The sequence below is a fragment of the Homo sapiens genome, chromosome 7 (assembly GCF_000001405.40).
Source record: "Homo sapiens chromosome 7, GRCh38.p14 Primary Assembly".
In the NCBI taxonomy this organism is placed as follows: Eukaryota; Metazoa; Chordata; class Mammalia; order Primates; family Hominidae; genus Homo; species Homo sapiens.
This window is the reverse complement of record NC_000007.14, coordinates 52,792,085-52,804,707: the sequence shown is the minus strand read 5'-3', so window position 1 is coordinate 52,804,707 and position 12,623 is coordinate 52,792,085.

Sequence of the window (12,623 nt, the reverse complement as noted above, 5' to 3'; positions counted from 1 at the left end):
GTATCTGTGAAATGTAGCAATCTTATTTTAATATTCTTTTGAAAAGAATATCCAATTCCTCAAATGCTGTCTTCACTCCATATCTGTATGACAGGAATCTTTCTAACTTTTTTGAAAATTACGCTTTGACAGTAATCACCATCATACAAATAGGCCTACTGTGATCAGGTCCACTGAATTGATTCTACAAGGCCTTAGGAAGGGAATTTGTAGTAATCTTAGCTCTGCTGTCAGGTTAGATTTATAGGGGGCGTGGGTTGGGGGGCTTCTATCAAGCTATGATATCCTGGCCCTCTCTATTTCTTCCTCCAAAACACAATAATCCTTTGCACAAACAGACATCAACGTTTCAGTTTCCTCATCATCCAGTAAACATGTATTTTGTACTTATTAAATAAACATTATATGCAATCTTGGGGAAGGAAAGCAACTATATATAGCAGATCTCAAGAGACTATCCAGTGAGTTCATTTTCAAATGCATCTATTCATTTGTCTTCATCATTGCCCTATTTAACACCTTTCCTCCACAGTGCCATCTTATTCATTCCTTACTTCTATTTATAAATAGAAGGAAGAGTATGCTTACTTTTCTACCCTCTCTAGCCAACCCTTTCAATGTCCTGTGTCTATAAGAGGAGAGGCTATAAAATGTCTCTCAGCATCCACTCCACTCAGACCATTCACTTCACTCCACTCACAAGCCTGGCTACAGAGATTAGAGGGAGCTGTGTTTCCTTATGTCATAGAAAGCACCCTTTGGGAATAGGAAGAAAAGTCATTGCAGTGTGAATCTTGGTTTTCCATGGGAAGTCTGACACTATTAGATATTATTTGTCTCATTATTTTCAATTTTTTTCAATGTACGTGAATTCATTGAAATTCATTGAAGTCATTGAAAATGACTGCTGACTATCCAGACTTCTCATTTACTTTGTCTGAGACTTGGTTTTGGTGGCCAGAACTGTAGTTTCACATTTATTGGAATCTTTTATCACTGCCTCCACATCTGATTCCAGGTATTTCTGTCTGCATGTTTTTTTCTCTTAGTTTTATCCTCTTCTGTCCACCTCACCACACTCCCTTTGTATTTAGATTCTGATTAGGAACTCAATATAATTTATCATTCATCCAAATTGACGGTGGGTGCCCTTTGGGTCAGACAATGATGTGTGTCCTGAGGATAAGGAAAGGGGATGGAAGATACAGCAAAGAACCAGAATGACAAGACCCACATTTCTGTGGTGCTTGGGATCAGGGTGAGAATGTAGATGGGTAATAAAAGCAAAATAAAGTTTTGAGTAAGGGTAAATAATATCTCAAACAAATTAAAACTGTAATTTAGATTGCGATAGGTGCTAAAAAGAAGGGTGTAGAGTCACAAGGGAAGCATGACCCCTGGAGTATCTTTCTGGTGAGGTGATCCTTGAACTGAGGCCTGCATTATGAAAAATAAGGCAGTCATATGGCATTCTTAGAAAAGAGGGGCATGGCAGGGATAGGGGAACTGCAAATTCAGATGTCCTAGAGCAAGAACAGACCAGGCAATTTCAGGAATGAGAAAGACCTGCTTGAAGAGGAGTGGTTGAGTGGAGAATGGCAGGAGATAGATTTGGAGATCGTATCATGTAGGGTTTTCAAGGTCAGAGTAATTTGATTCTAAGTTTAATGAGAAGACTAAAGGATTTTTCAACAAGTGCATAGCATAATCTGTTTTCTGTTAAAATAAAGACATATCATTCTGGTTCAGTATTGCCAGTTTTTTTATTTGCTACGGCAAATGTTTCTAAAGCAAATAAAAATAGCACAATTTATCCCGGTCAATATTTGGGGCATACTTTTACTAAAAACATATTATTTTTCTTCTGTCTTTCAATTTAACTGGTTGTCCTGTATGCTACCTGGTGGCTGTACTCTGATTCTGTTTAAAGTATATTATAGGAGAACAAGAGAAAAATTAATAAAAACAGTTTGAAGACTAGAATAATAACCCTGTGTGAAAAAAGCTGCGTAAAAATTGTGTTGACTTGGAGATAACAGTGGAATAGGAGAGAAGATGGAGAGATTCAAAAAATATTTTGTTACCACAACTGAGGGTCCCACTGATAAGACTATTCAAAGGTGACTCAGGTCAGATAAAAGTAGAGGTAAAGAGAATTCCAATGTTTAAGTCTTGATAAATGCAGATACCATGATAAATGCAGATACACTGAGATAGGGAATACTGAAGAAGGAACTGAATTGAAATGGTTTCTTACAGAATTTTGATTATTTTAACGTTTTCATGTTTTATTTGCTCATACAATGCTAGGTTGATCTATTTATATTTTAGCTTATCTTATTAATACTGATCCTTTATGGGTAGGGTTTTCAATAAAATAATAGTGCCTAGTCTAGAGTGTAGTACTTTTGTGCAAGATAGCAGAATATTGGAAGGTAGCCCCTACTGCAAAGAGAAGGATATTTGCCTAGGCAATGGAAGTGGAAGATGGTTAATGGATGTTCCATGTTATACTGGCGGCTGGTGGTGGTGGGGAGTTCCAGGGAGTGGAATAGTGATGATCAGAGACAAACAACAATCTAGAGAATAAAACAGGGGGTATGGAGAGATCCAAGCAGATGAAAGTAAGAATCACGGAGGCCTTTAAGCCATTAATAGAAGTAACCATTACACTTGTCTTCAAGAAGCAAGGTAGCTGCTCAGGTTTGGAGAAAGAGTAATGAATGATTCAGAACTGATGCCAAAAGTAATAGAGTTTTGGCCTAGGTGGACAAGTTTAGAGGCTGCACTGCTCCTCACTTCTGTGCCTGGACCAAGCACAAGCCCAAATAGAGACTGCAAATGACTGAATGTCTGTGTCACCTTAAATTCATATGCTGAATTCCTAACTTTCAAGGTGATTTATTATGAGATGGGACCTTTGGGAGGCGAATAGGTCATAAGGCTAGAGCCATCATTAATGGGATTAGTACCATTCTAATCCCATTATAAAAAAGGATTAAAATGCTTATAAAAGGTTACCCCACAGCACTCTCTCTCTCTCTCTCTCACTCTCTCTCTCTTTTTCTCTCTCCCTTCCCGTGTGAGGATATAATAAGAGATTGGCTGTCAGCAACTCAGAAGAGGGACCTCACCTGATCCCGACCATGCTGACACCCAGATCTTGGACTTCCAGCCTCCGTAACTGTGAGAAATCAATTTCTGTTTTTATAAGTCCCTGTTTTTAAAGTCTATGGTATCTTGTGAGCACAGCCCAAACTGACAGAGACCCATATAATAAGTGTCTAACACTGATAGAAGTCAAGCGAATACACTGATAAATAAAATATGTTCTGTCATTGTGTTCACCAGAAACATATTCTTAGCGACAAAATTAAATAATCTCTATTAAGCTACAGTCTGTTAAGACTCAAAATGGGTAAAATATAAAAAGATGACTAGACTATTGCTTATGTCTGGATCTTGCAATGAACTGACAATCATTGAATGAACAATAATTAAAACAAAGATATTCATAAATCATATGACTGTATCTTTATTCCACAAGATTTTTTTCTTTTCTCTCAACAAATTCACCAATTGTGTTTATAATCAAAGTGTTCACATAATCCCTGTGGTATTGTCAGTAATGATCTAAATAATTCTTAAAGTGAGTGTAACTATATTCAAAGTGAAAAGGATTAGAATACAATTCCATAAAAATCAAACTAAGTGGAGAAATAAAAAGTTAAAAATATTTATGTCTTTTCCAATTAATATTTGTTCTAAAATATTTGCAACTATCTACTAAAATTAAAAGGCAGACTTCTGTTTCTGGCTAAGATGGAGTAGCAGAGACTGGATAATTGCTCCTACTAAAACAAAGAAAAGCCAGAAGGCACCTGACACCAGACAGCAAGGACAGTAATCCCTGAGAGCTGAAGGACAGTGAGGTGCACCTGCCACTGCCCCAGCCGACTCAGGGACAGCGTCCAGGCTGTGAGCACCAGGGCCCGTATGAGGGGATCAGCAGGGTCCCTGGGGCAAGCAGCCTGCGAGAGAGCAAGAGGGCTCAGAAGCCAACCACAGAGGATCCCTGCCTTCCCTTCAGCTCAAATGTGAAGAAAGTACATGAAAACCAGGAAAGGACCATCCAGAAGGATGAAAGTAGCAGGACTTGTGCTCATGCAAGCCCGAGAATAGTGCCTTTTTCCAGTGACCAGATTGGAAAATGTCAGGGTTCATGGGTGTGGGGGTGGAAGGAATGAGTCTCATACGAGGAGGCATTTGATGGTGATGGATATGTTCTTGATAAAGATGATGTTTCTGTGGAGATAAACACACACACATATAAACTTTCAAGTTGTGCTTTAAGTATGTGCAGTTATTGTGTGTCAAGTATCCCTCACTTTTTGCCTTAAAATTAAAAGGCAAATACAAATTATCAATCAATATATTAATTTTAATTCAAAACATTTAAATGGAGCTGAAATTCAATTATGTTTTGAAAACAATTGAACTTTATTTAAAAAAAAAACTCATAAGAATAAAATGCTTGTGTCCATCTAGCTGTCAAAGAAAACCAGTTCCATAGTTCCTGTATGTAACATCTGAACTCACACATCTATGGGGGTTATGAGGAAGCATAACGGTGTAAGGTGACAGCGGCCTTCTGTGGCCACAAGCAACAACGCCACCCCAAACTGCCTCGCCAGTCACTGGAATAGGAAAAGAAGCAGCAATGGACTCTCCACGGGTCTGGGAAAGGCCGCCATGTCCTGAAGGGATGTGTGGCATGACTGCTTTCTGAGAGGGAGCTCTAGCAAGTTTTCCGAAGTGATTTTTACCCAGCTTCAACCTCCAGTCACGTTCTCCCCGCACTTGGAATCAGTGGTCTCCTTCAACATCAGCAGCTGCGCAGCCATACCCTTTATGATGGACTTTCAGCTGCCTTTTATTTCCAAGACCAAGCACCAAGTGATATGCAGAAGCTGTTCTCTGCTGTTCCCTTCTGACACTGTGTTCTGGTTCCCCAGTGTCAGCTCCCAGGGCTGGAGCCCGCGTGATGGAAACTGATGTGTCATTCAGTGCACTTATTTTGAGTGTGTTTATATCAAAGGAAACGCGTAAGACACAGAGCTTAGGCAGGACTGCTCTTGCTGGGCCGGATGGGCGAGCCAGACTCAAGGGCTTGCTGAACACCGTGCGGGACCACCTGTGGTATTTCACAAGGAGGGTATTTTAGATGTCCCCTCATTTTGGGCCAAAGCCTAGGATGGAAGCACACAGGTGAGGATCAAGGAGTTCCAGTTTTGGATAATGGATAGTTCCCACGGAAAGTGAGAGAGGGAAAGAGGGAAGGCAGATTATTCCAATAGCACATTAGCCTGGAATCTCACTGACTCCATCATGAAGACGTTCATATTGTAGCTCATTGCTTAAAATTATCAAAATAATGTGTTTTTCTTTTCAAAAGTGATTTCACAGAGGGTACACGTTTACCTGGAGCCACTAACAGAGAGATCGTGAGAATTGCTTCCTGATTAGAGAAATCCATTTCTGGACTCTCAAAGATGGCAATTATGCAGATTTATGTAAACTATATGCAAATCACCTTGAAAATAAAGGCTAAGAGGAATGCTCCCAAGCTGTGACTTGTCTGTCTAAAGTTGTTTAGTGGAAAAAGATGTAAACCCCAATGCAAACAGCAGCTGAATTATGGAGGAGAAACCTTACCTCCTACATTTCTTTTGAAAATAATTAGATTTAGGTGAGATAAGCAGTTATTCTGCCTAACAAGATCACAACGTCTCCTTGGTATCCTGAATACTAAGCAATACAAATTTTTCTAGTACACAAACAGCCAAGTCAGAGTGGCACTGAGCTTTTTGGCATAGCTTTAGGATGGTATTAATGAGTCTTCAAATTACCTTTCTGCCAGTTACGGGTCATGTCAACCCTGTGAACTTTCTCGACCTTTGAGTCTCAGTTTCCCCATTTCTATTATTGCAGAGAAGATGAAATGAGTCATTCATTATGGAGCAGCAAGGTCAGGGCCCCGAACCACCCCAAGCACTCCCTGTGTGGTCACAGCTCTTACTTGTATATATCTCCCTCTTGCTGTTTTTCTAAATGTGTTGCAAGCCTTCTGTTAACTTTATTGTTGACTGTACAGGGATGGTAAATAGAAGCGGTGCATAAGAAAAGTTGTATACAGACAGCCACAGCCTCTGAGAAAATCTTCACAAATACAAAATAGAATCAAATTGAAAAGGGAAGATAAAAAACAGAGCCCCAAATCCTGAAGTGAGTGCTCCAAGCCCACAAGGAGCAAATGTGAAAAACAGGAGAGGGCAATCAGAAAGACCTTTTTTTCTGTATTGTATACAAACATGATCACAATGGTTGGGCCCATAACATTGTTTCATTTTTCCTTTTCTGCTTCATCCCCACTGTCTGAGCTTCCTCCAGGAGAATCTGTGAACATCAGAGGTGGGTGGCCAGCCTAGTGAAGCGAGGTCCCCAGGGATCCAGAGTAGAGAGTCAGGTCAGGCCAGCCCCGTTAGACAGAAAGGGTAAAATCAATCAAACAAAGGCTGCCTTGCTTAAGACAGACAAACTTTTTTGAATCTAGAGTGGCTCTCCTTTTTTTAAAATGCACTGTTGGGAGACAGGATTGCCCCATTACGGAAATAACCTGTGCAGCTCCCTCCAGTATTCATTCACAAGTATGAATCAACAGTTAAGAATCAGTAGACAGAAAAGGAAACTTAAGAGCCTCAAGACAGGACCAACAGACCCTAGAGGACACAAAGATAGTTAGCATCCTAAGAGAGTTTTAAACATATTTCAATTAATAACCTAAAATACTCAGTCGTGTAAGACATCCAGAGCAGTGGATCCCAACCTGGGGGACGCAGGGGTTGTTCACCCCTTCCACCACACCCAGCAGCCATTTGGCAACACTTGGGAACATTCTTTCCTCTGGGCCTTCAGTTGGTAGAAGCCAGGGATACACCTAAACATCTTGTAGTGCACAAGATAGTCCCCAACAGCAAAGCGTGACCCCCAAATGTCTATTGTGCTGGTGGAGAAACATTGATTTTTTTTCTTTTGGTTAAAAAAAAGAGCAATCTAACAGAAAGAATTGGGAAAACCTCCTTTCTTAAAAGAAACATGAAGAAACCAAAGAAAAAGATAATGTATTGGTTACATGAGGCTAATAGTCAAGCCAGTACTTTGATAGTAAAAGTCAAGTAAATCTCTAATAACAGATTTGAAGAACAAGGAGATCAAAAATAATAGAGGAGAAAAGATAATGGCCATGAAGAATTGATTCCAGATGTTTCATGTCCATGTAAGGAGGAGACACAGAAAACTGAGGAGAAAAAGGAGATAATCCAGTAAATGCACAAGAATGTCTTCCTGAGGCGAAGTTGAAAAGGCCCATGGTATACCACACTGATTAATAAAAACGATCCATGTTTAGAAAGATCCTTCTGAAACTACAGATATACTATGATAATAAAAAAAAAAGAGACTCATAAAATGAACCAAATGTGGAAGAGATAGAACAGGATTAGATATGGTTTACTTCATAAAAATTCAAATAAAAAAGATATCAATCAAAAGACAATGCTTTTAAAATTCTGAGGGAAAATTAGAACTAAGTTTCAATAATCAACCTAATAAGTTTTTAAAACCAACAAAATTTGTTTTAAATGCACAAGATACAAAAATTATTAAGAAAAAAATGAATATATATTTAGAATAAGTAATCAAAGTAAATTATATTTTTAAAAGTTAATGAGACAAATATCACAAAATACTAAAAAATAATTTGTATTTACTACCAGAAATATATTTATAATATTGTTCCTATATCTTTTGACTACATAATTATTGTTCATTTCTTAAACAGCATCAAGACTTATTACAAAAGATAACTGAGTAGTTAAAGTTATATAAATGTGGATAAGTAGGACAATTTAAGAGATATAGAACTCTGAAATAGATTCCTATATATATATATATATATATATACACACACACACACACACACACACACACACATATATATCTATATGTAGACCCTTGATATGGGAAGAGGTAGCTCTGCAGAATAAAAATAAATAGCTTTTCAGTAAAAACTTTAGCGTCAATTGGATATCCATAGGAAAAAATTAATCTTAATCCATCCTTCATTCTATGTTTTAAAATTGTTATAAATGCATTAAAATTTAAAGGTGAAAGACAAAATAATAAAATTTTTAGAAAATATATTACCACAAAATATAAACGACAAATAAATTGGAGTCTTTTTATTTATTTATTTTTTTGAGATGAAGTCTCTCTCTATTGCCCAGGCTGGAGTGCAGTGGCATGATCTTGGCTCACTGCAAACTCCACCTCCTGGGTTCACGCATTCTCCTGCCTCAGCCTCCCGAGTAGCTTGGACTACAGGCACCCACCACTGCACCTGGCGAATTTTTTGTATTTTTAGTAGAGATGGGGTTTCACCATGTTAGCCAGGCTGGTCTCGATCTCCTGACCTCGTGATCCACCTGCCTCAGCCTCCCAAAGTGCTGGGATTACAGGCATGAGCCACTGCGCCCAGCCAAATTGGAGTCTTTTACAATGAAGAATTTTATTCATTTCTTGTTTAATTAATTTTTTAAAATTTCAATTGCTTTGGGCATACAAGTGGTTTTGGTTACATGGATGAATTCTATAGTAGAGAATTCCGAGATTTTAGTGCACATGTCATCTGAGAAGTGTACACTCTACCAAATACATAGTCCTTTTTCCCTCACCCCACTCCAACTGTCCCCCTACCTTGGGTCCCCAAAGTCCATTATATCATTCTGTATGCCTTTGCATCCTCATATCTTAGCTCCCACTTATAAATGAGAACGTATGGTATTTCATTTTCCATTCGAGTTACTTCACATAGAATAATGGCCTCCAGCTCCATCCAAGTTGCTGCAAAAGACATTATTGCTGAGTAGTATTCCATGGTGTATATATATCACATTTTCTTTATCCATTCATTGGTGGATGGGCACATGTTTTTGTAACTGTGAGTTGTGCTGCTGTAAACGTGTTCATGTGTCTTTTTCTTATAAAGACTTATTTTCCCTTGGGTAGTTACCTAGTAGTAGGATTGCTAGATCAAATGGTAAATCTACTTTTACTTTTTAAAGGAATCTCCATACTGTCTTGAATAGAAGATGTACTAATTTACATTCCTACCAGCAGTGTAAAAATGTTCCCTTTTCACTACATCCATGCCAACAGTTATTATTTTTTGACTTTTAAATTATGGCCATTCTTGCAGGAGTAAGGTGGTATCTCATTGTGGTTTTAATTTGCATTTCCCTGATGATCAGTAATGTTGAGGATTTTTTCAAATATTTGTTAGCCATTTGTATATCTTCTTTGTTGAAATGTCTATTCATGTCCTTTGTCCACTTTTTGAAGGAATCATTTTTTTCTTGATGTCTTGTTTCCGTTTGTTTGTAGATTCTGGATACTAGTTCTTTGTTGCATAGGTAGTTTGCAAATATCTTCTCCCATTTTGTAGATTGTCTGTTTACTCTGCTGATTATTACTTTTGCTGTGCAGAACCTTTTTTAGTTTAATTAGGTCTCATTTATTTATTTGTGTTTTTGTTGCATTTGCTTTTGGGGTCTTAGTTATGAATTCTTTGACTAAGCCAATATCCAGAAGAGTTCTCCCAATGTTATCTTCTAGAATTTTTATGGTTTCAGGTATTAGATTTAAGTTTTTGATCCATCTTAAGTTGACTGTTATATAAGGTGAGGATTGGGGATCCAATTTTATTCTTCTACAGGTGGCTTGGCAGTTTTCCCAGCACCATTTATTGAATATGATGTTGTTTGCCTAATTTATGTTTCCGCATGCTTTGTCAAATACCAGTCTGCTGTAAACATTTGGCTTTGTTTCTGGATTCTCTATTTTGTTCCATTGGTCTAAGTGTCCAGTTTTATATCAGTACTACACTGTTTTGATAATTATAGCCTTGTATAATTTGTAGTCAGGTAATGTGATGCCTTAGATATGTTCTTTTTGCTTACAATTGCTTTGACTATGAGAGCTCTTTTTGCTTCCATGTGACTTTTAGGATTATTTTTTCTGGTTCTATGAAAAATAATAATAGTTTTTCATGGGAATTGCATTGAATCTGTAGATTATTTTGGGTCGTATGGTCATTTTCACAATATTGATTCCTTCTATCCATGAGCATGGAATGTGTTTCCATTTGTTTGTGTCATCTATGATTTTTTTCAGCAGTGTCTTTTAGTTTTTCTTGTAGAGATCTTTAATCTCCTTCATTAAGTATATTCTTTGGTATTTTAATGTTTTTGCAACTGTTGTAAAAGAGATTGAGTTCTTCATTTGTTTGTCAGCTTGACCATTGTTGGTGTATAGCAGTGCTATTTATTTGTGTATATTGACTTTGTTACCTCAGAATTTACTGAATTTGTTTATCAGATCTGGTGAGAAAAGTATTGCCATTCGGATGGCATCTGAAGGCTTTGTATGGTATCTCATTGTATTTTTATTTTAGTGTGTATTTCTTGTTTATTAGTGATATTGAGTGCTAGGAATACTGTGGAACAACCTCATGCACTGCTGGAGGGACCATTAATTGGGGAATTAGTTTACATTATAAAGTTAAATATAAATGTAACTATTAGCCAGAAATTTCACTCCTAGTTTTGTACCCAACATGTTTGCATAGTAAGAGTCATGTCAATGAAATTCATAGTAACATTATTTACATAGTCAAAAATTGAAATCAAAACAATTACCTTCTATACTAGATTTAATAGGTAAATTTTTATAAAATCATATGATTGAAGACATTCATTTCAAAATTTTAAAATCAATACTTTTTCTTTCCTTTGCAAAATTCCTACAGCTCAACAATCCTCAGTTTTTATCAATAAGAATTCATTCATCTTACTGGGAATGTAATTTATCTCACTTAAGGTTTTGACTTCCTTTTGGATGACCTCTTCTCCCTATTGACCATGTTTGCTCTGACTTCATTCATTTTGTGCTTTGCACTGAACTTAACTAGGAAGCTATATTCTGGTGTCTTTGGCCCTTGTTGCAATCCTCAATTTTAATTTTACAATTTATTCTTGTATATTGTATTTTTAAGAATGCAAATACTTTCTTCCCATTCTTGATTGCCTGTATTTCTTTTAATCTTTTTGCTAGGCCCTTTAAAATAAATGCTTCTTTTTTTGTTTGTTTGTTTGTTTGGTTTTTTTGAGACGGAGTCTCGTTCTGTTGCCCAGGCTGGAGTGTGGAGTGCAGTGGTGCAATCTGGGCTCACTGCAAATTCCGCCTCCCGGGTTCACACCATTCTCCTGCCTCAGCCTCCTGAGTAGCTGGAACTACAGGCGCCTGCCACCATGCCCAGCTATTTTTTTGTATTTTTAGTAGAGACGGGGTTTCACCGTGTTATCCAGGATGGTTTCAATCTCCTGACCTCGTGATCCGCCCGCCTCGGCCTCCCAAAGTGCTGGGATTACAGGCGTGAGCCACCATGCCCGGCCCAATAAATGCTTCTTTCTGTCGCTTATTTTCTAACTTACAGTCATCTTTTAAGCTGGACATTGCAAATTTCACTTTTGAAAGCCTAGAATTTTGACATGCATCACAACTTTAAATCATAACATTGCCTTTGTTTTCTAAAACTTTTTGAAAACTGTCTTCCTGAAGTTCAAGAAATAGGTGACACATTTTCCCCCAAGCGACTTTTAATGTTTTCCCTTAACTCTGCCACTTTCATGACAGTTTCTCTTTGTTTTACCTACTCCTTTCACAATAGACAACCTTAAAACAAAATATGATAAATAGAAGAATAATAGAATGTTTTGCTCTTGAACACTGGATTTCACGTTGCTATCCCCACGTGCAGTTATTTCTACAGAAAGTTAAAGCCCTATCCTGCTTTCATATAAGCTATGTCTTATAAGAAAGCTCATGGAATGAAAAATTGACCTGTTTTCCAATAGCAGTCAATCTTTACAAGCTCTGCCGTGTCATTAAAAAGTCATATCATATTACCACTTCTAAATATCTGAACTCCAAGATACGAAAAGATTTTGCCATGCTGTAGTTGAATCGAAGGTGAAAGAACCATTATGAGAAGTTGGAGTGTGACAAGTCAAATCTCATACAAGTTTCAATTGACAAGAGGTAGTTGTCTTTCCTTTTTACAATTGGCAGGAAGACCTGTGTGGGGAGCACCTTTGATTTTTGCTTCACATTTAGGTATTTGGAAAGAAAGGCAAATGGATTGCAGTACTCATTCCCACACCTTTTCTCCCTTCTCTTTCTCTCTCTTGCTCCCGTTCTCCCCACCTCTTTCATTGCCACTGCCCTCTAATAAGGACTGCCTTTGCCTCTGCCTCAGACCTGGGGTGGTGATCATCCAGAGAAGCTCAGAATCCAGCCTGCAAGTTCTCTCAGGATTTCCCTACAGCCTGCCACACCTTGGTAAACAATCAGAGGATTAACCTCCTCTCTCATCTCCCATTTGAGTATGCCATCTGATTCCTGCCAGCATCCTGACTGCTTTTTGAAGGGAGGGAAAGATAAAGAAT